Raw genomic sequence first — 27,595 nt, forward strand, 5'->3', positions numbered from 1 at the left:
CATCATTCCAAAGACTCTCCTTATGATGATAACAATTAGTTGAACTCACTTTCTAGAATCCAAAATTGCAATGGTTCTCCAAATTAATACATTGTATCATGAAGTAAATTCACCTTATTTATTACTGTTTTGCTTTCATCCACCAGTAGAGGGAGTACAAATTCACCTATAACTGAGTCCAAATCCCAAAAACAGATTTAGGGAATGACAGGATCAGGCAGGAGTTTAACTCCTGTATTTTTATGCGTTAAGGAATCCGAGGTGACAGAGGTTGGGTGAGTTAATGCAGTTACATGGTTGGCCAATGGTGGGGCCAGATGAACAATTCGCACCCCCTGGCTTCCAGAACAGGCTGGTTTTACCACCGGTGAGGCTGGTCCTTTCAGTGGATATCAGGTTTCCTTCCTAGCCCACTGGGTGGTCATGTGGAATATTTCAGAAAGCCAAGCTCAGTTTCCCTCAAGAAACGTTAGTGACCACTAGTTTAAGATAAATTTTTATTTGGCTATGGTGAAACAGCTGATCATATAATTCCCCCAAATGAACATTAATTTAGCAAATTAATATACTGCACAAATAAGTATACAAAAGCAAAATTGAGAGCTAAATGAAGACAAAATTCCTCTCTGGGTCTTTCAAAAACACAATTTATCAGTTGAGAACTAATTGACTGTTTACAACTGGAGGTGAGAAGGGTGTATTCACAGATGTCTGCCTGAGACCATTGGATAAAGGGGATGAGTTCCAGTTAAATTTTGAAAAAAAAAAAAGGGGAAATAGCAGGGCACGGTGGCTCACATCTGTAATCCCAGCCCTCTGGGAGGCCGGGACAGGCAGATCGCTTGAGGTCAGGAGTTTGAGACCAGCCTGGCCAACATGGCAAAACCCCTTCTCTACTAAAAATACAAAAATTAGCCAGGCATGGGCAGCTGTAGTCCCAGCTACTCGGGAGGCTGAGGCAGGAGAATTGCTTGAACCTGGGAGGCGGAGTTTGCAGTGAGCGGAGATCGTGCCACTGCACTCCAGCCTGGGCGACAGAGTGAGACCCCGTCTCAAAAAAAAAAAAAGGTGTGTGTGGGGGAGGAGGGGAACAAAACAAAAAGCTGACCCTGAAAGTCTCCTTACTACTCAGTTTGAGAGACAAAAACTCCAGCTCGCCTGTTGTTTATGCTCATGCCTGGCTCTCCTTCCACTGCCTGCCGTACACTTTGCTGGGGCGGGGCTGACTCTGTCTCCTTAGGGGCAGGACTGTCTATAACACTGTCTTAAGTTCCACCTCTTCTATGCCTGGGAGGACACACCTGTTTCGTGTTCATTTGCATTCCCAACTTATCTTTCTTCTTCTCCTGGTGGCCACAGGAGGTGCTTTGTCGGCTGGCAGGTCCATTTTGGGTATTCTAATCCAGGCTTCTGACTAGGTTTGGTAGCTATTCTCATTCTCATTTTACTTCTTATTCATTCTAACTCTCATTCTACTATTTTTTACTTAGACGTAGTTTTCTTGGTAAGAAAGGCCATGGTAAGCAGACGTAGTGTGCACAGAAATATGCAGCCCTTCTGGGTGCCTGGACCCCAGTAGCACCATAGTCACCCGTAATAGCCACATAATAGCCACGCCTAGTTCTAAGAGTGAGTAGAGTTGGACCAAGTTGTGAAACTTCAAGTTTGCTTTTGTTTTTAGTCGAGGCCTAACCTAGGCTTGGCTGGGCACTTTTTTCAGGGTGCTAGTGTTGTAGAACCTCTGAGAGCAGCGAAAGGTTTATAAGATTTGGCCAAGGCCAGAGGGCGGGAGACAAAATCTCGCAATTCTGACCTGCCTTTGGACATAATTGAGGCTTTATGAGGAAGGTGGGGATGCGGGAGTGGCGATCCCATGACCAAAGCTGCTTGCCTCCCTCGGTCCCTTGGCCAGATGAAACTTCTGGATGCCTTCAAGGATGTCTATCTGACCAAAGGATCTTGTTCTTTAAAGATAAACAAAGCCGGGCGTGGTGGCTTATGCCTGTAATCCCAACATTTCGGGAGGCCAAGGCAGGCAGATCACTTGAAGTCAGGAGATTGAGACCAGCCTGGCTAACATAGAGAAACCCCATCTCTACTAAAAATACAAAAATTAGCCAGGTGCGGTGGCATGCGCCTGTAATTTCAGCTACTTGGGAGGCTGCGGCAGGAGAATCGCTTGAACCCGGGAGGCAGAGGTTGCAGTGAGCTGGGATTGCGCCACTGCACTCCAGCCTTGGCCACAGAGTGAGACTCCAAAAAAAAGAAAGAAAGAAAGAAGGAAGGAAGGAAGGAAGGAAGGAAGGAAGGAAGGAAGGAAGGAAGGAAGGAAGGAAAAGAGAGAGAAAAGAAAGGAAGAAAGAAAGAAGGAAGGAAGGAAGGAAAAGAAAGAGAGAGAGAAAGAAAGCAAGCAAGCAAGCAAGAAAGAAAGAAAGGAAAAAGAAAGAAAGAAAAAGAAAGAAAGAAAGAAAGAAAGGAAGGAAGGAAGGAAGGAAGGAAGGAAGGAAAACAAGTTCATCAATCTCGCAGGCAGACCCTGGAGGGTTAGGATATGAAGGTAATCAATTATTAGCAACTCCCCTCCACCAGAATGACTTCATGCCAGCAAGTGTGCACAGGGAGAGGAGAGGACAAAGAGAGAGGAAAATAAGCAAAACAGAGAGAGGAAAATAAGCAAAGCAAACACCTTAGGGTTTTTGTTTGTTTGTTTGTTTTTGTTTTTTTGAGACGGAGCTTCACTCTTGTTGCCCAGGCTGGAGTGCAATGGTGCGATCTTGGCTCACTGCAACCTCCGCCCGCGCCCTCCCCACCCCACCCCCAGGTTCAAGTGATTCTCCTGTCTCAGCCTCCTGAGTAGCTGGGATTACAGGCATGCACCACCACGCCCAGCTAATTTTGTATTTTTGGTAGAGACAGGGTTTCTACATGTTGGTCAGGCTGGTCTTGAACTCCCAACCTCAGGTGATCCGTCCACCTTGGCCTCCCAAAGTGCTGGGATTACAGGCTTGAGCCACCGCGCCCGGCCTAGGGTTTTTATACTATAGGCTCAGTCGCACTAGCCTGGTCTCCTTTTGCCTCCAGGAAGCCGTGTGCACCACCTACATGCTGTAAAGATCAAAGAATGCACTTATCTAGGCCACTGCTGTCATGTCTCCATTTCTTTTTTGTTTTTTGCTTTTTCTTTTTTTTTTTTTTTGAGATGGAGTCTCGCTGGAGTGCAGTGGTGCAATCTCGGCTCACGGCAACCTCTGCCTCCTGGGTTTAAGCAATTCTCTTGTCTCAGCCTCTGGAGTAGCTGGGACTACAGGCGCATGCCACCACACCCAGCTAATTTTTTGTATTTTTAGTAAAGAAGGGGTTTTACTTCATTAGCCAGGAAGGTCTCAATCTCCTGACCTCGTGATCTGCCTGCCTCGGCCTCCCAAAGTGCTGGGATTACAGGCATGAGCCACAGCGCCCTGTGCCATGTCTTCATTTCTGCAACCAACACCTCCATGCTCAGGTCTTCCAGTCTTCCAGCTGTGATCTTTCTCAAAACTGACACTGGGAGTGAAGCAAGCCTTGGAAGGAGTGACAAATACACCCATCCCCTGCAGCCCCCGCAGACCCCATTCATCGATCACAGCTCTCCTTCCACCACTCATTGATCACAGCTCTCCTTCCACCACTCATCGATCACAGCTCTCCTTCCACCATTCATCGATCACAGCTCTCCTTCCACCATTCAGTGATCACAGCTCTCCTTCCACCATTCAGTGATCACAGCTCTCCTTCCACCATTCAGTGATCACAGCTCTCCTTCCACCATTCAGTGATCACAGCTCTCCTTCCACCATTCAGTGATCACAGCTCTCCTTCCCCCATTCAGTGATCACAGCTCTCCTTCTTCCATTCATTGATCACAGCTCTCCTTCTCCCATTCATCGATCACAGCTCTCCTTCCACCATTCATCGATCACAGCTCTCCTTCCCCCATTCATCGATCAAAGCTCTCCTTCCACCATTCATTGATCACAGCTCTCCTTCCACCATGCAGTGATCACAGCTCTCCTTCCCCCATGCAGTGATCACAGCTCTCCTTCCCCCATTCATCGATCACAGCTCTCCTTCCACCACTCATTGATCACAGCTCTCCTTCCACCACTCATTGATCACAGCTCTCCTTCCACCATTCAGTGATCACAGCTCTCCTTCCCCCACTCATTGATCACAGCTCTCCTTCCACCATTCAGTGATCACAGCTCTCCTTCCACCATTCAGTGATCACAGCTCTCCTTCCACCATTCAGTGATCACAGCTCTCCTTCCCCCATTCATTGATCACAGCTCTCCTTCCACCATTCAGTGATCACAGCTCTCCTTCCCCCATTCATTGATCACAGCTCTCCTTCCACCACTCAGTGATCACAGCTCTCCTTCCACCATTCAGTGATCACAGCTCTCCTTCCCCCATTCAGTGATCACAGCTCTCCTTCCACCATTCAGTGATCACAGCTCTCCTTCCCCCATTCATTGATCACAGCTCTCCTTCCACCATTCATTGATCACAGCTCTCCTTCCACCATTCATTGATCACAGCTCTCCTTCCCCCATTCATTGATCACAGCTCTCCTTCCACCATTCAGTGATCACAGCTCTCCTTCCCCCATTCATCGATCACAGCTCTCCTTCCACCATTCAGTGATCACAGCTCTCCTTCCACCATTCAGTGATCACAGCTCTCCTTCCACCATGCAGTGATCACAGCTCTCCTTCCACCATTCAGTGATCACAGCTCTCCTTCCCCCATTCATTGATCACAGCTCTCCTTCCCCCATTCATCGATCACAGCTCTCCTTCCACCATTCAGTGATCACAGCTCTCCTTCCCCCATTCATCGATCACAGCTCTCCTTCCACCATTCAGTGATCACAGCTCTCCTTCCACCATTCAGTGATCACAGCTCTCCTTCCACCATTCAGTGATCACAGCTCTCCTTCCACCATTCAGTGATCACAGCTCTCCTTCCCCCATTCATTGATCACAGCTCTCCTTCTTCCATTCATTGATCACAGCTCTCCTTCTCCCATTCATTGATCACAGCTCTCCTTCCCCCATTCATCGATCACAGCTGTCCTTCCCCCATTCATCGATCACAGCTCTCCTTCCACCATTCATTGATCACAGCTCTCCTTCCACCATGCAGTGATCACAGCTCTCCTTCCCCCATTCATTGATCACAGCTCTCCTTCCACCATTCATCGATCACAGCTGTCCTTCCCCCATTCATTGATCACAGCTCTCCTTCCACCATTCATCGATCACAGCTCTCCTTCCACCATTCATCGATCACAGCTGTCCTTCCCCCATTCATTGATCACAGCTCTCCTTCCACCATTCAGTGATCACAGCTCTCCTTCCCCCATTCATCGATCACAGCTCTCCTTCCACCATTCAGTGATCACAGCTCTCCTTCCACCATTCAGTGATCACAGCTCTCCTTCCCCCATTCATCGATCACAGCTCTCCTTCCACCATTCAGTGATCACAGCTCTCCTTCCACCATTCATTGATCACAGCTCTCCTTCCACCATTCATTGATCACAGCTCTCCTTCCACCATTCAGTGATCACAGCTCTCCTTCCACCATTCAGTGATCACAGCTCTCATTCCACCATTCATCGATCACAGCTCTCCTTCCACCATTCAGTGATCACAGCTCTCCTTCCACCATTCAGTGATCACAGCTCTCCTTCCCCCATTCAGTGATCACAGCTCTCCTTCTCCCATTCATTGATCACAGCTCTCCTTCCACCATTCATTGATCACAGCTCTCCTTCCCCCATTCATTGATCACAGCTCTCCTTCCACCATTCAGTGATCACAGCTCTCCTTCCACCGTTCATCGATTACAGTTCTCCTTCCACCATTCATTGATCACAGCTCTCCTTCCACCATTCATTGATCACAGCTCTCCTTCCTGCTGAGCTTGGGTGTAGTCTCAGAGTCCTTCTCAACATAGCATTCCAGACAACCACCACCAAATGTGGCTTGACACTCAAGTAACACACATTTACCATTACTGCCTGTCAATGAGAATTAGAACTGGACACCAGTTAAAGTGGTGGAGCTGAATTTTAGGGAGAAACTAAACTGCTGTAATAGGGGAAAAGAGACTTCAGCACAGAACTGAGCTCAATTTGAATACAAGGATAAGTGGGAATTTATCACTAAACAGCAGGATGGGGGCATCAGTGGGTGGACAGTCACTAAGAGGAAACATCAAGGGTAGTAGGTTCTTGAGAAACTGACTCAACAGGGTCCTTGCTGAGAGCAGGCCGGCAGGATGGGATATCAAGAGTTGGGAATTCTTTTGTAGGGGAGGAAAAATATCTTTTCTCCTACCCTTCAGAGTTTGTGGCTGGGGACCCCGTAATAAAAGACAGATTAACAAGAGAAAAGCATAGAAATGTATTTAATATAAGTTTCACAAGACACAGGAGCCTTCATAAGAAAACAAAGATCCAAAGAAACGGTTAAACCTTAGTGTTTTTATGCTAGAATGGATGAAGAGTGGAGAGTTCTGAAAAAATGTCTGAGGACAGAGCGGGAGCTCCATATAGTCAACTGGGGAAAATTTAGCAAGTCTCATTCACTCAGATTCCTCTCAGCATCCCTCCATCTTTTTTTTTGAGATGGAGTTTCACTCATGTTGCCCAGGCTGGAGTGCAATGGCATGATCTTGGCTCACTGCAACCTCCAACTACTGGGTTCAAGCGATTCTCCTGCCTCAGCCTCCCAAGTAGCTGGGATTACAGGCATGCACCACCACGCCCGGCTAATTTTGTATTTTTAGTAGAGACGGGGTTTTTCCATGTTGGTCAGGCTGGTCTCGAACTCCTGACCTCAGGTGGTCTACCCGCCTCGGCCTCCCAAAGTGTTGGGATTGCAAGTGCGAGGTACTGCACCTGACCCCCTCCATCTTTAAAGTCAAGGACACTCCTTCCCTCTGGGTATAAAGAGATCACCCCTTACATAAGGGTTGGATAATCCGCTTCAGGGGAAGGTCAGAAAATCATTTCACCAATTCCTTCAGCTAAAATATTCAATATACCAAGTCAGTGTGTCCTGAACTCCACCACTCTAAACTGACATAGCAGAATTTGTGATAAAACTGAACTCAGCAAAGATGAACACGGAAGACCACGGAGGACACCTGATGAAGAAGAGGGCTCAGAGGAGCATGGCCACAGTCCAGTTAAGGAGAAAGTCTTTGTCACGCCCCAGAGTTAGAGTACACAGCCCTCCCTAGCTAAGAAACTGTAAATAACTCTACAGCAATCCATCTGCAGCTCCAGGTAGACAACGTCACCTGCACCATCAGCCGCTTTTGACACCAGGCAATTCTAGGCACCTCGGCATGCTGAGTGTTTTGAGCAGAAGGAGGTTGAGAGGGTCACAGAAGCAGGTTGAGAGGGTCACAGAAGCAAGAAGGTCTCTCCAATCTTCTCCTGCCCTCCTTTCTCCTAATCCCCTTTGCCCTCTAAAGCAGGTTGTAGAATCTAGAATTCACCTCCCCTGAAGCAAGCCATCAAACTCAGGAACATCACTCTCTGAGCTCCTCACTACTCCACTGAAGACCCTCATGTGGCAGGTATTGTGTCCTACACCTGGGGCGGGGGAATGAATTCATAGACACAAAAAGAATCGGAACAAACAGGCCTAAAGGAGTTCCCCCAAGTTTATTATCATTAGATCACACTCCCTTTCATCCAGTCATGATTCTCTACAACTATCTACTTTTTTTCATCAGACTTAGCATAAAAATACACAGTTTTCCCTGGTTCTTGGGCCTTCATTCCTGAAGGCTCTTGTGACATGTGAAGCTTTCATTAAATATATTTGTTCAGGTTTTCTCCTGTTAATCTGTCCCATGTTACGGAAGTGTCAGCCACGAACTGAATGGGTGAAAAAAAGAGATTACTTTTTCTCCTCTACAGGGCTCAAGGCTCAGAAAGGTATTTTTCAAAAAAGAACTTGAGTCGTATAGCTCTATTTCATTTTTTCCTCAGAGACTATATACACAAAATTGAACAAGCATTTTATAACTTGTTCAAGAAGGCAAAAATATAGGTCACTGAAAACATAGTCTTCTTGAATTACTTTTTTTTCCAAACTTTAATTTAATCCTTGTAATAGTCACATCAAGAAAAGCTTTTTCTATCCATTTTCTTACCAGTTGAACACTCTTTTGAAAGTGGACTTTCAGTCACACAGCTCTGTGTTTCAGCTAATAACCTACTTTGCAGCTGACATACAGGAATACAACGGCTATACAAGAAAGAAATGTTATTTTTCTTTTCTATGGAATTGGGTCCAGAAAAATGCCTGTGAGAAAGGCTTTTTGCATGGACATTTGTCCTGGCACTTTTTCCTTATTAAAAATTTAATGGCGTGGGCCACATATTCATATTCAGATCAACTCTGGGTACTTATCCCAGTAGCTATGATAATTAAGATTTTACTTTTATGACAGTCTAGCAGAGCACAGGTTTTATATTCAATATTCTGCCACTTGACAATTCTTTAGCCAGCTTTTCCCAACTTCCCTTCTCATAAGACCCCACTCCAGATACTGATTCAACACGGCTGACATGCAGGCTGGAGTCCTGGTATTTACAAAGAACCAAAGAACCGCAAGTGATGTTTATAACCAGAAAGGTTTGGAAAGCACCACTCCAGGCAAATAGTCAGTTTTAGGGGTTTTAAAAGATTTTCAAAACAAAGCTAAAGATTTTAGTTCATTTTTATTTTTATTTTTTCAAGACAGGGTCCGGCCCTGTCACCCAGGCTGGAGGGTGGTAGCATGATCATAGCTCACTGCAACCTCAAACTCCTGGGCTTAAGCCATCCTCTCTCCTCAGCCTCCCAAGTAGATGGGACTATAGGCGCATACCACTACGCCCAGCTAGTTTTGTTTTCAAATTTTTTGTAGAGATGGGGTCTTGCTGTGTTGCCCAGCCTGGTCTTGAACTCCTGCTCTCAAAGGATCTTCCTGCCTCAGCCTCCCAAAGTACTGGGATTGCAGGTGTGAGCCTCTGTGCCTCACCAAAACTCAAGACTTTTCAATACAGCACACACACCACAAAGGACAGCCATGACAGTCACCCTGGTGAAGAGGTGAAAGCACCTGCCAGCTGCCGCTGCCTCAGCCTGCCCCAACCCCGTGCAGCCCTGCTCCTTCTCTCATTAGAAGTGGCAAGGGAAGGCACGGCGGGGAGAGGGGTAGGGACGCTGTGAGCATCCTCAGAAACCATCGCAGTGCCTCCTGCCCAGCTGCAGTGGAACTGCTGCACTCCACCAAGGCAGCCGAGGGCTCTGAGGACCAGAACAGAATACACTTCCATATGCATTTCTTCCACAATTCTTTGAGTGAAGCACCACCCTCTGTACAGAATCATTATAATTATTCTTGGATCACTCTTTTGTCTCTCTACAGTGGCTTTGGTAACAGCAGGGATTCCAGAAACAAGGACAAAAGCATCTGGCTTGAGCAAGGAGGCTGCTGGCAAGACTGAGGGTGGCAGAGCTAGGAGGATGAATGTGTGAGGAGTGGACAGGCGACAGGAAGAGAAGGGAAGAGAGAAGGAACAGACCGGGGAGAGCCCCTCAGTGGCCAGTAGTGAACTTTCCCCAAATCTGTCCTCCTGGCAGAACCCTCTCTCCCAGCTCCTGGAGGCGGAGCCAACCCCAGGCAGGAGGCTACAGCAAGCAGATGTCCTGGTCACTGCCTGCACCTCCCATGGTGGCTTTCACAGCTTCCTGCCAGCTCCAAGCCGACCCTAAACCTCCGAAAAGCATCTGAGGAGGCAGCTTACATTTGGGATTAAAACACCAGTGTTACCCCTGTCAGAAAAATTTGCATTATTCGTGTGGCGAACGAAAAATAAAATCTTAAGGCCCCCACTGATCAGACCCCCTCTTGGCCAAGGGAACTCCAGAGAAAGCCTAAAACTGAGTTCCAGGCCATCACTGGAAGGGAGGTCAGGCACGTCTCCTCATACCCGCTTTCTTTTGGAGCTTAGACACGACAACTGACCAGCATTCCTGTAAAAACAAAGATCAGGAGGCTAACAAAACAGACTCTCTGTCGTAACAGGAAGCCAAATTCTAGGCCGGGAGCGGTGGCTCATGCCTGTAATCCCAGCACTTTGGGAAGCTGAGGTGGGTGGATCACAAAGTCAGGAGATCGAGACCATCCTGGCCAACATGGTGAAACCCCATCTCTACTAAAAATACAAAAAATTAGCTGGGCGTGGTGGTGGGTGCTTGTAGTCCCAGCTACTTGGGAAGCTGAGGCAGGAGGATTGCTTGAACCCGGGAGGCGGAGGCTGCAGTGAGCCGAGATCACACCATTGCACTCCAGCCTGGGCAACAGCGCGAGACTCCATCTCAAAAAAAAAAAAAAAAAAAAAAAGACAGATCTTAAACAGGATGTAAAGCCGGCAGTCTTGCTGAACAGGTCATATTGTGGCTGACTCTGACACAGCATCCTTATCTTTTTTTCCTTTTTTTATGCTCCACAGGGCAAGTCCTAAGCATCCCTATCTTAACTTCAACAGTCCATTCTGCTAACTCCAAATTTTTAGACAAAGTTTTGTTCCTTTCACCAACTACACATTAAAGAATCTCGGAATCCACCTGTGACCTGTAAGCCCCCATTTCAAGATGTCCTGCGCTTCCTGGCCGGGCCAATGCATACCTTCCAGGTACGGATTTGTGTTTTGCCTTCTCAAAATGTGTAAGACCACACTGTGACCCAGCCACCTCAGCAGCACTAAGACCACACTGTGACCCGGCCACGTCAGGAGCACTAAGACCACCCCGTAACGCGGCCACCTCAGGAGCACTAGGACCACCCCGTAACCGAGTCACCTCAGCAGCACTAAGAACACCACGTAACGCGGCCACCTCAGGAGCACTAGGACCACCCCGTAACGCGGCCACCTCAGGAGCACTAGGACCACCCAGTAACGCGGCCACCTCAGGAGCACTAGGACCACAACGTAATCCAGCCACCTGAGGAGCACTTGCTCAGGACCCCTTGAGACTGTTTCCCTGGGCTGTGGTCACTCATATTGGCTCAGAATAAACTCTTTAAAATATTTTACAGAGTTTGGTTTTTCCCACTAGCAATGTCAACCTAAAAGGAAGAAGCTGAAACAAAATTAATGTAGTAGAGAGTTTATTTGGGCTAAGCTTGAGGACTGCAATCTGGGAGCATAGATTCAAGTTGCCCTGAATATACATCCCAATTAGCAGATGTTGTAAGTGGATTTTTTTTTTTTTTGACAGAATCTCGCTCTGTTGCCAGGGTGGAGTGCAATGGCACAATCTCAGCTCACTGCAACCTCCGCCTCCCGGGTTCAAGCAATTCTCCTGCCTCAGCCTCCCAAGTAGCTGGGATTACAGGCATGCGCCACCACAGTTGGCTAATTTTTGTAATTTTAGTAGAGATGGGGTTTCACCATGTTGGCCAGGATGGTCTAGATCTCCTGACCTCATGATCCACCTGCCTTGGCCTCCCAAAGTGCAAGGATTACAGATGTGAGCCACCGCGCCCAGTTGATTTTTTCTTTTTTTTTTACAGGGTCTGGCTCTGTCCCCCAGGCTGGAGTGCAGCCTCAAACTCCTAAGCTTAAGTGATCCTCCTGCCTCAGCCTCACGGGTAGCTAGGACCACAGACACATGCCACCGTGCCTAGCTGATTTTTTGTATTTTTTTATGTTTTTGTAGAGACAGGGTATCACTATTTTGCCCAGGGTGGTCTCAAACGCCTGGCCTTAAGTGATACTCCTCAGCCTCCCAAAGTGTCGGGATTATAAGCATGAGCCACTGTGCCCTGCATAGGTGGATTTTTTTTTTTCGAAGTCTCGTTCTGCTGCCAGGCTGGAGTGTAGTGGTGCCATCTTGGCTCACTGCAACCTCCGACTTCCTGGTTCAAGTGATTCTCCTGCCTCAGCCTCCCAAGTAGCTGGGATTATAGGCACACACCACCACGCCCAGCTAATTTTTGTATTTTTAGTAGAGACGGGGTTTCACCATGTTGGCCAGGATGGTCTCGATCTCCTGACTTTGTGATCCACCCACCTCAGCTTCCCAAAGTGCTGGGATTACAGGCGTGAGCCACCGCGCCCGGCCGGGTGGATTTTTAAAGGTGATAAAGGGGGACGGAGAGCGTGCTGACAGGGGGACGGAGAGCGTGCTGACACGAAGTGGCTCCTCAGGAATCCTCACTGGTCTACAGAAATAACATTGATTATGGTGGGTCATAGTGTCCGGGCATGGCATCCTTAGGTACATGTATAGCTTCTGTGGCAACAGCAAGCAGTTTCGAGAGATGAATTGCGAGATCAAAAGGGGCAGCAGGCTGCAGTTGCCATCTCATTTTACCATCTCTCTGAGTCTGACAATTCAAAGGACTTGCATTCCTCAGACAAAAGTTCCCCTCCCCTCCCCTCCCTTCCCCCCGTTCCCTCCCCCTCCCCTCTTTTCTTTTCTCCCTTCCCCTCCATTCCCCTCCCCTCCCATCTGTCTTCTCCCCTCCCCTCCCCTCCTCTCCCTTCTCCTTCCCTTCCGCTTCCTTTCCTTTCTTCCCCTTTCCCCTTTCCCCTTTCCTTTCTTTTCTTTTCTTGAGGAGACTCCGGGAAAGCGAAAGACAGAATTGTGGCAACTTTCTGGAGCAGAAAGTTCTGAGGCAAGGAAAAGCCCTTATGTGCGATGCGAGGGAGGCTGCACAGACCTGGGTGGCTGCCCACAGCTTCTGGAGCCTGGCCGCAGCGCCTCTGAAGGCAATGTCACATAGGGAACGAGTCACGAGGAAGCCAGACAGGCACAAGCACATGGACGCTTTCCACCTTGAAGATCCAGGGCCACCTTCCTGCCCCCTGGGGGCACAGCGGTCTCCAGTCCCTGGAGAAGCTCCAGCTGGGGATACTGTCAACCCGGTAACCAGCACGGCGCTCCTGGGCAGCCCGGGACCAGCTGTAAAGTGGTGATGGCAGGAGAAACCCTACAGGGACTGGCTCACACACACACAGGGACTGGCTCACACACACACACACACACACACACACACAGGGACTGGCTCACACACACACACACACACACACACACACAGGGACTGGCTCACACACACACACACACACACACAGGGACTGGCTCACAGGTTTTAAGTGAAAGGAAGAAATCAGGAGTTCTTTCCTTTTTTAGCAATTTGAAACTCTAAGAAAAAGGCTACAGTGTTGTATTAATGTCTCACCACTCCCACCCCCTTTTCAAGTGAAATAAAGAATACAAGGGAAGCCAGAAAAATGCTGAAGATTTTGGCAATGAAGGGTCTGACCACAAAGAAAGCCAATGTGCCACTTGTGTGGATTTTTGCAGAAAGAGTAAACAGCCTTCCTGCAAGACACAGGCTGCAGAGGGTTCCGTTTTCATGGCTGGCTGCCACAGAATTGGCTTAGGCTGGATGGACTGAGCAGAGCATGGGGTCTGAGCCGAGTGGCGTGAGCCAGGGGTCCAGAGCAGACACGGGGGGCGTGCACGCCATCTCCAGAGTCGCACAGGGCTGTGCGTAGGCGGCCACTAGGGTAGGTCACGCATAAAAGTTGCTTTGTATCTGCAGCACGAACAAGACTTAAAGAAAGATCTGTTTTATAAAGACGAAGCAGTGCTCAGTATGTCATTTAGGATGAAGAAGAAGGCAGGGAAAGCGTTCATTTTAGAAGTGCTGTGAGGATGGTGCAGGACGCAGTGGGGCGGGGGGAGGGTGCATTCCGCCCGGATCTTCCCTCCCCTCACTTCTGTGCTGCCCTGCCTGCATGCCCTCACGCCCAGGCTAGTTTCCACTCTGCCACAGGCAGTGAAGATTGGATCCGCTGATGGCAGCATCTTGGAAACAGGAAACTGACAGGCCTCTGAATATGCCATCCTAAAATATGACTGTCTGAGACCAGACTATACCACCCCAAAATATGACTGTCTGAGACCACACTATACCACCCCAAAATACGACTCAGAGATCAGACTATATCACCCCAAAATGCGACTGTCAGAGACCAGATTATACCACCCCAAAATATGACTGTCAGAGACCAGACTATACTACCCCAAAATACGACTCAGAGACCAGACTATATCACCCCAAAATATGACTGTCAGAGACTAGACTATAACACCCCAAAATATGACTCAGAGACCAGACTATATCACCCCAAAATATGACTGTCAGAGACCAGATTATACCACCCCAAAATATGACTGTCAGAGACCAGACTATAACACCCCAAAATACGACTCAGAGACCAGACTATATCACCCCAAAATACGACTGTCAGAGACCAGATTATACCACCCCAAAATATGACTGCCAGAGACCAGACTATATCACCCCAAAATATGACTGTCAGAGACCAGACTATACCACCCCAAAATACGACTGTCAGAGACCAGACTATACCACCCCAAAATATGACTCAGAGACCAGACTATATCACCCCAAAATATGACTGTCAGAGACTAACCAGACCATGCCTCCCACACATGCCTCTTTGTCTTAAGGATCATTTGGAGCTGGTTATTTTGAGAAACTGCAGATGCAGGAGAACCTTTAAAAACAGAAACTTACCATTTTGTAAAGGAAATGTCCGTCAATAAAGGAACTGTCCATTTGTAAGGGTGCCTTCCTCTCTGCACCAGAGAGAGAAGAACGACTAGATCTCTAGACTCCTGAACCATGGAGAAGGTTTCTAAGCCTGAAGTTTAAACTACCTGTTTGAGATCAACTCCAGAGACATACTCAGTTCTCTGGGTGCCTCCCAAGTGCACACGAGCTACACATACTAATAAACTTCTGTTTGTTTTTCTCTTCTTACTCGGTCTTTGTTACAGGGAGTCTCAGCTAAGAAGGTTGGAGGGCAGAGAGAAAACTCGTGTTCTGCCCCTACCGGAGCAAGTGTGTGTTCCTCTGCACTGATGAATGTGCCTGTCTCCAGAAAGGGCAGCCCGTAGGTACTGAGAGCAGAGGTGGAGCTTCTAAGAGAGCAGTGACAGCCTCACTCCTCCTCCCTGGCCCACCCTCACCCCGTCCCCTGCACCTGGAGCCACTGGAAGACGGAGGAGCCATCCTTTAAGAATCTCCTGGAGGACTCATCGACCCCACGGGGACATGGTACAAGGCTGGAGAGCAGCTCTGTGTTGAAGGGGAGGAGAGAAGATAATCTCATTTCCTCCCAGTCTAAAGAATGAGCATTCCCAGTGGAAGGAGAAAGCAGATCCTTGGCCACACACAATCCTCGGAGAAGAGTCAACAGGATTGTGACTAGAAGTGGCTTCTACATCAGCCCAAAGTTGACTTTCAGCAAAAGGTAGGTTTTTGCAATTTAAAGCAGTGACAATTGATTTAGACAAGGTTAGCCTTAAGTGATTTAAAAAATGCTTTTATGTAAGATCTCATTTAATCTTCATTGCGGTTCTTGTAGAAAGGAATCAGAATTTAAGGCACCAGCGCGAGGTTGGAGAGCTATTATATTATGGAGCTAGGATTCTGACCTAGTTGGCTTAACAAGGAGGGGCTTAATAAAGACAAGTGATCTCCAAGCCCAAATACAAGCAAAGCCAGCTCATAAAAGATCTGCTTTCAGATTTTAATCCTTGATGAAGGGAAATGTTTAAAAATTTCCTAAAAGCAAAATTGACAAGACAAATCCAAAGAAAACCCTGTCTTATCCAGTGTGGCCTCAAGGCCCAACCGCATCCCCTGAACAGAAAACCCTGTCTTACCCAGTGTGGCCTTGAGGTCCAACCGCATCCCCTGAACCTGGTACATTCGCCTTTGGGTACGTTCAGTAAAGAAGCCAGGGTCTCAGAATATATGGAGTGGTATTTTTGTTGGGAGCAGGGGTGGAGAAGTTGCCTTGAAATATATACAGATTAAAAATGTATATATTTCAAATGTATTTAACAAAATTTATAGCTAAGCAAATATTCCCTACGATCTACCAAAAAAATGTAGAAATTATCCACAAAGAATTTAGGGCTTCATCTATTTTTAGAGGAAGAAGCTGTTAGCATGCTGTGTTCAGAATAAATACATTCAATTAAGTTAATAAATTAATCATGTAATCTTTGATTAAGATTATCACCAATGAAATATAGCTACACAAACAGTAATGATTCAACTATAGCTTTGCTTATTGCAATGAAAAGGATGATCTGGACATCTAGATACCCTCCCGAAAACCTTGTGAAACCTGTGACTACCTCTTCATGTAAGTCCCTCTCCCCACCCCCGACTGGGGAAGTCAATGATTTACCAAACACAGCACACAGCTGGTCCATGGCAAAGGCAGCAGGAACCCAGCACTATCTGCCTAAAGATGGTGACCTGCTTATGGGTGGCCGTGGTCCGCAAGTCATTAGTAGCTTTGGCACACGGGTCTATCTTCTGGAATGACCAGGCCTCCCTACGTAGGCCAGAGTCTTCCTGCACAGGCCCTGGGCCCTAAGGCTGCACAGGTGCCCGAGGTCCAGTCAGCAGATATGTTGGGATCAAGGCATCGCGTGTCCTTCTGCTAAGGCAGTGTTTCCCATACCACTGGCAGGCATCAAGATCACTTAGAGAGCTTGTAATTCCTCAGGAAATGACCTTCAGGCCTCTCACAAAAAGTGTCAAAGAACTGAAACTAGATCACCACACCAGATGCCTGACCCCTCATTCACCATGATCGCTTCCTTGCCCCAGGCTGGAGTGCAGTGGTGCGATCTCAGCTCACTGCGACCTCTGCCTCCCGGGTTCAAGTGATGCTTCTGTCTCAGCCTCGTGAGTAGCTGGGACTACAGGTGCACGCCACCACGCCCAGCTAATTTTTGTATTTTTAGTAGAGACGGGATTTCTTAGCCAGACTGGTCTCAAACTCCTGACCTTGTTATCTGCCCACCTCTGCCTCCCAAAATGCTGAGATTACAGGTGTAAGCCACCGCAACCAGCCTGAGCCACCGCGCCTGGCCCTGTTTTCTTATACATTGTTATATTTCTTGCCTGCTATATAAACTCCTGGTTTTGATCAGTCAGGGAGATGGATTTGAGACTCAGCTGCAGCACCCTATTAAAGCCTTCTTCCTTGGCAATACTCATCATCTCAGCGATTGGCTTTCTGTGCGGTGAGCAGCAGGACTGAGATCAAACCCCTGGTGTTTCAGTAACCATTTTCCTACTGTTTTTCTTTTCTTTTTTTTTTTCTGTAGAGCCAATGTCGTGCCATGTTGCCCAGGCTGGTTTCAAACTCCTGGGATCAGGTGATCCCCCTACCTCAGCCTCCCAAAGTGCTGGGATTACAGGTATGAACCACCACGCCTGGCCCCCTAGTGAAATCTAAAATTGCAACGCTCTTTTTTCTCACAGTTTTCTCATGTCATTAATTCTCTCTTCTACTTCTCTAAAAACTTTAATCTACTCCACTGTCCCTGACATTTTAGTTTTTGTCTGACTACACTGTCTTGCCTACCCCATATTTGAACCACTTTTTCACTACTGCCCCCAGCCCCTATTGCCCTAACAGGCCTCCCAGGCTTCTCAGACCCGCGCAATGGAGATGAAGCCTGGAGTTACTGACTGTGCTGCGCAAAGCAGGCCAGGAGCCCACAGCTGTCCTGAAAGCCCTTCTGTTTGTGGTGTTCACCTTGGACAGGCCTTCGCCCCCGACTTCGTTCATCTGTTCTTGCTCAGCTTATATCTTCTCTTAACCCACCGCAACATTCATGGCTGAGACCCCCTAACAAAAGACTGATTAGCAAAAGAAAATCATGCAAATTTATCTAACGAAAGTTTTACATGACCCAGGAGCCTTCAGACATGAAGGCCCAAAGAAACAGGGAACACTGTATTTTTATGCTTAGGATGGATAAAGAGTGGACAGTCCTGTAGGATGGTTGGACAAAGGGAAGATGAGCTAATGAGAATAACCTGGGGAGAACTTAGCAAGGCCAATTTGTTCAGATTCCGCTTGGCATCGCTGGGTCTTCATTCCTCTTCTCTAGGTACAGGGAGGAGGAACCTCTGGAATGAGCGTCTAATGACCTACTTTAGAGGGAGGCCAAATAATTATTTTAGGACCTGCTTTGGAGGAGAACACTGGGAGAAGGTCAGAGAGATCTTCCCGCTGCTGCCCTGCGTTCTCCTTCCCCTCCTTTGTCTCCACGGTCCCCGCCCTTGTTTACCCTCCCGTGCTCTTACCACCCTCCAGGATCATACTCAATGCATTAACCCTTTCCCTCGTCTCTTCTGGCTTGTTCGCCCCAGGCCTCCCCATAAACCTTTCTTAATAAATCCTTCTTTCTCCATCCTGTGTCTACGTCTACTTCCAACCATTTTTTCTCCTTAAATATTTAATTCACCATCTTTACCTACATGCTTATTTTATGCATTATCACAAAATTATATTTTCAGCCCCCATATTTTCCTGAAGCTCTTTTGCAACTGTTGTAAATAATCTTCTGGCAGCCAAACCCCTTTTTCGTTCCCTCATTAAGGAGGGTTTATACTTAGGAAGCAGCCACCACTTCCACCACTGAGCTGGCATTGGCGATACGACAATGAACAAGATACAAATGGCCTTTACCCTTATGGAGCACGCAGTCCGTGGTAAAGAAAGCAAGAAGATAATCAATTACAGACCAACCTGGATAACACAGGGAGATCTCATCGCTGCAAAATAAAAAAAATTAGCCAGGCGTGGTGGCGCATGCCTGTGGTCCAGCTATTTGGGAGGCTTAAACAGGAGGATCATTTGAGCTGGGGAGTTTGAGGTTGCAGTGAGCCATGATCACGCTACTGCACTCCAGCCTGGGCGACAGAGTGAGACCTGCAGTGAGCCATGATCACGCTACTGCACTCCAGCCTGGGCGACAGAGTGAGACCTTGTCTATAAAATGATAATAATAAGAATAACCAATTGAATTACAGCATAACAAATGCCAGGATGGAGAAATAATGGGAAACTGGGTGCAGAGGAGGGAGGTCTTTAAGGCAGATCAACTCTCCTTGGCATTTAGTTCTAAATACTGTCCTCCCATGTGGCTTGTAGGACCCACACTCCCCTGAGACTCCTCCTGCCACTCCTACTTGGTTTTATTCTTTGTCACTCCTCCATTTCCCCAACTATCTTTGAAATATTCGTGTTCCACAGGACTTTGTCATTTACACACTCTTCCCTTCTCTTTCTAGAGGCTTCCTTGAGCATGCTCACTGCTTGAAAACCTGATGAAACTGACATCCGTCTCTAGCCTGGAGACGTTCTCTTGCACACTCAGCTCTATGACGGGCTCCTCAAACTCAAAAGGCTCGGGAACTGAGCTCATTATGTTTCCTCCCAGTCCTTCTCCTATTATCTGTCCTACTCTAGTTAATGAAATTTTCACCTCCCTATTTGGAGCAAGTCCAAAAACTGAGAGTCAACCTATATTTCTCCATTTTACTTATTCTCTGCCTTCACTGGAGGCTGTACCACTTACAAGCACATACTCTAAAGCCAGATGGTGTGGACTGAATCACAATTCTACTATTTGCTAGAAGAGTGCCTTAGGTAAATTACTGCATAGCTCTGTGACTCCATTTCCTCATCTGGGAAGTGTATTATTAAGAATGTGGCTGGCCTTTGTCCCCAGGTTTTGGGAAGTAACCTCTAAACCCCTGCCATTTCCCGTGCTCTAGGGGTATCTTTGTTATTCACAGGGGGCTCCTTGGACCACACTTGGTAGTCTATGTGAACATATGACTTGGAATGGAGGCTGGTCAAGACGGAAAGACCCACCATGTGATTAGGGAGTCGAGGGCTTTGAACCATATTTTAGTGGCCTGACTCTGAGGAGGAGAGGGGCCAAAGACTGAGACACATGGGCAATGATTCGATGAATCATGCCTATGTAATGAAACCCCAATAAAACTCACAAGGACTCAGGGGAGCTTCCCTGGTTGGCAATTTCCTCTGTGCGTTGCCATACACTGAAGTGCCGGAAGGGTAGCACGTCCTGAGGACAAGGGCAGCTTCGCAGCTAGAACCCTCATAGATCCCCTTCTGTGCATCTCTCCCTTTCACTGCTTCTGAATTACATCCTTTTACTGCAATAAAACTGCCATCATAAGTATAGTGCCTTCCTGAGTTCTGTGAGCTGTTCTAGAAAATTGTTGAACCTCAGGGAGTCTGTAGGGACCCCTGAATTGGTAGCCAGCTGGTTAGAAGTTAGGGTGGCTCCGGAGGCCTCCAAACTTGCAGCTGGTGTCTGCCGTGAAGGAAGTCTTGTAAAGAACTGTGCCCTTAACCTGCGGTTTGGCCTAAATCCAGACAGGGAATTGAAGACAATAACGCCTAATCCATATGGTTACTGTGAGAATTAAATGAGCTAATACAGATAAAGCCTTTGAATAGTAACTATCATAAGTACAAAATGAATATCACCTATTTTTATTTGTATTGATTTATTTTTATAGACAGGGTCTTGCTCTGTTGCCCAGGCTGGAATGCAGTGGCACCATCGATCATTGCTCATTGCAGCCTCAACCTCCTGGGCTCAAGTGATCCTCCCACTTCAGCCTCCCAAGTAGCTAGGACTACAGGTGCACACCATCATGCCCAACTAACCTGTTTAATTTTGTAGAGACGAGGTCTCACTCTGTTGCAGGCTGGCCTCAAGCTCCTGACGTCAAACAATCCTCTTCAGCTTCCCAAAGTGCTGGGGTTGATGTTACCCACCTTTAGAATTGTTGCCTTGCATTAGTGTGAACAGAGCCCATATACATGAGGAGTCTGCATTCCCAGGGTCTTCCCAATGGGCCTCCACTGGATGCCCATAGAGAAGAATGGTACACAGCAGAAAAGCAGAGAGAGAGAGCTTCATGTGGCAGCACACAGACATAGATCCCCACCTCCTTTCTGGGCCTTTCCTTCACACAACACAAAAGCATGAGGCCACTGTGGATGGGCAGGTAATCCTTTTGTCCCCCAAGGCTTGTGGAAAGATCTTCTGTTGTTTGTTTGTTTGTTAGTGGTAGGGTGGTTAAAAGCAAAAGCCATCTGCCCCTGGATCATGCCCCATATAAAACCGAGGTCTGCTACCAGTGAGCCAGGAGCAGGAAGCTTTCTCCAAAGAACCCCACAGATACAAGCAGAGTTTGACTATGAGACAAAGGCAGAAATACTGAGAAAACCCCATACATGAGGTCCAGGCTAACAGGGATAGCCTAAGATTGAGGCTGGACCAGGAGAATTAAAAAATGCCCCTTCCACACCTTAAGTCTTTCATGGGAAAATAAGCAACAACAGTTGTTTACTCTTGGGAGGGAGGAATCAAATGAAAAGAGAGACATCTTTTGTGTACAGGCATTCAGGGTCTACCAAAAGATGAAGGTGAAACAGTAACATTGACAAAAACTCTCCAGCACACCAGGTCCTTCACTAATACAAGGTATCAGAGCCCACGACTGGAAGAACTTAAAGTTTGAACTAACTGTGATTATAGCAGCAACAAAACCCAAACCCAACTCAAACCAGACTTCCACACAAGTGGCCTGGCAGAAGAAGTATGCCCATTTCTGGACATAAAATATTTTAAAAGTCCCTTTATTACTATTGTTCTTCTACACACAATGTCTGATGGTCAATTTTTAGAAATACATATACGTATGATGTGTAAAGCAAGAAAACATCCAACTTACTATCAAGGGATAAAGCAATCAACAGAATAAGGCCCAGAGATGAACAAGATGCTAAAACAATCAAACAGGAATTTTAAAATAACCATGATTAGCACAGGACAAAAAGATCAACTCTCATCACTTCTATGTAAAATGTATTTAAAATCTTAAACAGTGAAATAAGGCAAGAGCCAGAAAAAAAAAGGCACACAGACTTAAAAAAACAAAACTACATTCATTACCTGACTGCATAAAAATTCCAAATAATCTTTTTTAAATGCTATTGGAGTAAGTGAATCTAACAAGGTTGTGGAAGTTAAGGCCAATATATAAAAATCAAATGTCTTTTTATATACTAGCAATGAACAATTGGAAATTCAAATTTTAGGAAACATCATTTACCCTAGTATCAAAAGCATGAAATATTTGGAGATAAATCTAACAAAAATGTGTAAGAAATACTGTGAAAATTACAGAATATTGATGATGGAAATTAAAGCACACATAAAAAATAAAGCAAACTACCATGTCATGAATAGGAAGACTCAGTATGGTTAAACTTTTAATTCTTCCCAAAGTGAGCTATAGGTTCAATGGAAATCCAATGAAAATCCAAGTAAGGCTTTTTTTGGTAGAAAATAGCAAAGGTGATTCCAAAGTCTACACGGACTTTACCTGCACTATATCCAAAATTTAGTTCAAAATAGACGCCAGGCATAATATCACACCTAAAACTATAAAATCTTCTAGAATGAAAAAAGAAAAATCTTTGTTAAGCAAAACGAGGTGTAAAATGATGTAATAATTTGGGGGAGCAAAATAAGCAGTTTATTATTAGGTTAAAAATACTCTTACCACACAAGCCAGATAGATACTCCTTTTCTAAGTATTTCCCCCCCCCAACCCAAAATGAAAACATATCCATAAAACTAAACTGCAAATGAATGACACAAGATTTACCTGCACAGTGTCATGGCACTATGGGGCTGGCAAGGTAGTAGCATAGCCATGGTGCCAAGGCAAACTTCTCAAATCTCTCTGTGCTTCAGTCCCTAGAAGGAACTCAGCTACAGGCGATGCCCGATCAGGTTGAGGTTTGGAATGGGCCCTGGATACTGGCATTTTTAAAACTCTTCCCAGGTGGCCGGGCATGGTGGCTCTTGTAATCCCAGCACTTTGGGAGGCTGAAATGGGAGGATGGCTGGAGGCCAGGAGTTTGAGAACAGCCTGAGCAACATAGCAAGATCTCGTCTCAATAAATAAATAAATATTCTTCCAAGGCAATTTTGCTGTGCTGCTGGGTTTAAAGCACTAGCAGGACAAGACAGTCATTGTTTCTAGTATATATGTGAACACATTGCAGGAGGGAATAACATATACAAATTAGCGCTTAAAAACATTCAGGAAGGAACATACAAAGGAGCAAAGAATTATATATTCAACACATGTTTTGTGCTCTAGAAGAAATTAAACAGAACATGGAATCAAACAAAAATTAAAGATAAAATAGGTCAAAAGAGAAATTGGAGAGAAAATAAAGCAAAGGAAGGACAAAACACCATTAGAAACACCCAGGAACAGAATGATCAGCTGCCAGCAAGTCAGTGTCAGCAAGGGAAGATCTGAAATGCTAGCAAAGAGGAAGAAGAAAAAGATTAAAGACATTGAAAGGAAAAGATATGGAGGACAGACAAGATACAAAATAAAGCAAAACATAACATTGCTCTCAAATTTGAAACACGTGACAGGAAAGTGTTAATTTAGAGAGGTAAAATTCAACAGAAAATTAAAAGGCATGAAAATGGCTAATTAATATGTGGAAGGATTCTGTGTAAATTTAGAAAAATGAAAACAATGTATTCAGTTGGTGCAAAAGTAATTGTGGTTTTTGCCGTTAAAACCTCTTTGCAGATCACATCATCGAAAACTGAAAAGATTGATGTGTGGGCAAAGGTGTAAAACTAGAAACTTGAATATAATGTTGAATAAAACTATCATTTTCAATTCAAATACCACTTTACTTCAGCACATTTATCTTACATATACACTCGCAACTAGGAAAGGAATATGGACAAGCAAAGTCACTGTGTCATTTTTAGTCATTGTAAAAACCAGAAAAAATCTAAAGTTTTGTTTGTAAAGGATTGGTTTAAAATCATGGAATATCCATACAATGAAAAAGGTAGGTGTTCACTGGGAAATACAGTAGCTGTCTATGTTGATAGGGAAAGACCTTCAAGATTGCTCAAGTGACACAACGGATATCTAACAATACGTATGAATGCATACCCTCCTGTTAGGGAAACAGGAGCCTAGGAGAGTCAGGGTGACACCACTTTAAAATCAACTCCATCTTAAACCTAATGAGGCACATTCCTTGCCAGTTACCACCTGTATTAGCCTCTTCTCATGCTGTTAATAAAGACATATTCTAGACTGGATAATTCATAAAAGAAAGAGGTTTAATTGACTCCCAGTTCCGCAGGGATGGGGAGGGCTCAGAAAATGTAGAATCATGGCAGAAGGGGAAGCAAACACGTCCTTCTGCACATGGTGGCAGCAAGGAGAAGTACAGCAAGGAGAAGTGTGAAGTGGGGGAAAACCCCTTATAAAGCCATCAGATCTCGTGAGAACTCACGCATTATCACAAGGATAGCATGGAGGTTACCGCCCCCACGATTCGATTACCTCCCACTGGGTCTCTCCCATGACACGTGGTGATTATGGGAACTACAGTTCAAGATGAGATTTGGGTGGGGGATACATGGGTGGGACACAGCCAAACCATGTCACCACCCATGGTCATAGAATGTTAATAGCTGAGAAAAACGCCTAATGCCTGCAAGGACAAACTCTTATGACAGCAAAATGTCCCAATGTCCCAATATCACATAGCAATATATGCTTTTAAAGATAATTATAGTCATGCTGTGGTGTGTTTGTGCACTAAAGTGCCAAGGACAGCTTTCTTTAAACCAACGAGGAATAAATTTTGTCACACCGTCAGCCCACTGGCGTGTAGACATAATGTAGCTTAGCTTTTACATAGATAAGACCCCTATATAAGAAAAACTTAAGACAAAGATGAGGGGTTCCTCCTCTTGCTTTCTGAGGATGCCCTACTTTGTATCTGGGTAGGTTTCAGTAAACTCTCTCTCCTCACTGCACTCTGCAACTCACCTTGAATTCTTTCCTGCACAAGATCCAAGAACTCTTACTTGGGGTCTGGATTGGAACACCTTTTCCTGGCAACACTCCTATTACACTTGAAATTTCAATCGTATGCCTGTATTTCTTCTGTTTCAAATGTTAAAAATTTATATGTTTTCCGTGAAAAAAGAGTTGGAATTTTTTTTAAGTTTTAGCTTTTTATGGAGAAAAATTATTAACTAGAAAATTAGACTATCAGAGAGACTTATAGTTTCACCTCGCTAAGATTTCATTCTCAAACATGGGCCATTACTTTTACTGGAAGTAAAAAATTATATAATTATATTGGAACTAGTGTTGAATAATTTTATTTTTGTTCACATAAAGCAACATGAATAAAATACACAATAACTATAACTTAAATCTGAAATAAGCACTAAAATTATGTGCACAGCATTCATTTTGCTATTCTGCTGCAAACAGAATATTTTCTTTTCATAGCACCTGCAGTGAAGGTCTCAAAGGAGTCTTGCATGGAAGGGCATTGAAGGGGACATGAAATTTTAACTAATACCACGAGCTCACATGCTTCAAACCCAAACTTGCTTATAACCAACCAATGTCACTTCTTAGAGAACAATATTACAGGTTTTTAGTATTGTGCTATTGTTTTTCCTTAAATTATGTTTTGTTATCTGAAATCCCAATTAATGGTTTTAGTTTTTTTTTAATTTTTGTAAGACAGGGTCTTGAACTCCTGGGCTCAAGTGATCCTCCCGCCTCAGCCTCCCAAAGTGCTGGGATTACCGGTGTGAGCCGCCGCACCTGGCTAATGTTTGCTCTGGACACCATAAGACTTGTTAGCATAATCGTAAGGAGACCCTGAAAATACATATTTTAGCTGCTCCCAGAGTCTCTCTGTGTTTCTACAGGACAGTGGGAAACTGATGTAAATAATTAAGAAGCAAATTAATTATTTGTCAGTTACGTACCCATCCTGACTTCCAGCATGGAGACTTAAATGAAAAGCAGAGGCAGCCAGGTGCCAATTACTTTTACAAGCTTCATTCTTAAGTTGAATTAGGAAAGACTAAGATGTAACCAGATGTATGTATTATCAAGTGATGAAAGTTATCTGCTTTTTAAAACACTTTTTGATTTAGTCCTCCTAATTTTCCTATGATTGCAACTCCCAAAAAGAATCATAACATAAAACCTACACCTAAGAAAATTCTGTTCTGATGCAGGGGAAATTCATCTACTTGCAAAAGCACACTGCAGGATTGCAATTCAGATGTCAAGTTAACCTGATGAGTGATTTGAACACACACACACACACACACACACACACACACACACACACTTGCTTTGTAAATTAAAAATCTGGAGCAAGCCACAGAACATGGTCCCTTTCAGAAGGGAGTGTCTTTGTTCTGCATAGCTCCTGTCCTGATGGTGTGGGCACCTCTGAGTGGTCTCTCCATTGTGCTGGACCTGGTTGCTGTAACTAACAATGGGTGGCTCTCCTGGTCTGAAATCTAAAGAGCATGTTAGTCACCTGCAAGCCTGCTCTTATTTAAAAGAGCTGGTTCACCTCCTTTTTTACATCGTCAAATTAGATCCCCTCAGAGAAATGCCAGAATGTTCAGTTGACACATTAACGCTGAATTAAAACTAGCTACAATTTCCAACTTGCAGATGGTGGTGAGACCAAAGGTAATAACAATGAATTTGTCATTCAGCCACAAGGGATTGATGCAGCCAATTAAGGCTACTCTCTGCCCATGAGATTCTGCTCAGGTTTTCTACTCCATCGTGACTAGGGGAGATCACCGGAAGGGATGATTTCTTCCACTTACATCACACAGAACTCCTGCAAAGGGGTTTTCACTCCACAAACACTTGTGATGGCTCTTATTATGTTCCAGACACTGCTTGAAGCCCTCTACAACTATTAACTCATCTAATCCTCCCAACAACGCTTAATGGTGAGTTCTATTACTCCGATCACTTAAGAGGAAACCTGGATGCTAAGTAACTTGTCCAAGGTCACACAGCTAGTGAATGGCACAGCTGGGATGTGAACACAAGCGCTGTGACTTCAGAATCCAGGCTCGCCCTGACTTTGCTACACCACTCCTGTGCCCGAGATAAAGCTGGGTTTCCAATCTCCGCATCGTTCACATTTAGGGCCAAGTAATTATTTGTTGTTGGAGGCTATTCTATACATTGTAGTGTCCCTGGCCTCTACCCACTGGGTCCCTGGAGTAACCCTCCCTCCCCTGAGCTGTGAAAACCAAAAATGTCTTCAGATACTGCCAAATATCTCTTTGGGGACAAAATCATCTCGTTGAGATATCATTCTCTATGTCTATCATAGAAATAGAATGACTAAAAAGAAGAAATAATAGAAAAATGTGGCATTACTAAAAACAATCGTAGTATGTCCGTCTCTGTACATTTTGAGATAGAATTATTAGGAAATATCTCAAAACAGTCCTCTCTTTTTTTGAGACGGAGTCTCTCTCTGCTGCCCAGACTGGAGTGCAATGGCACCATCTCGCCTCACCGCAACCTCCCCCTCCTGGGTTCAAGCGATTCTCGTGCCTCAGCCTCCCGAGTCGCTGGTATTACAGGCACCCACCACCACGCCCGGCTAATTTTTTGTATTTTTTAGTAGAGATGGGGTTTCGCCAAGTTGGCCAGGCTGGTCTTG

The 27,595-nt window shown here is 45.5% G+C and overlaps 1 long non-coding RNA gene across 2 annotated transcripts in view; it reads right to left on the minus strand.

Annotated features, from left to right (window-relative positions):
- F11-AS1 (F11 antisense RNA 1) overlaps positions 1 to 27,595 on the minus strand; it is a 214,961-nt gene that overhangs the window by 186,801 nt on the left and 565 nt on the right. The window lies entirely within an intron of this gene.

The sequence above is a fragment of the Homo sapiens genome, chromosome 4, assembly GCF_000001405.40.
Source record: "Homo sapiens chromosome 4, GRCh38.p14 Primary Assembly".
Taxonomy (NCBI): domain Eukaryota; kingdom Metazoa; phylum Chordata; class Mammalia; order Primates; family Hominidae; genus Homo; species Homo sapiens.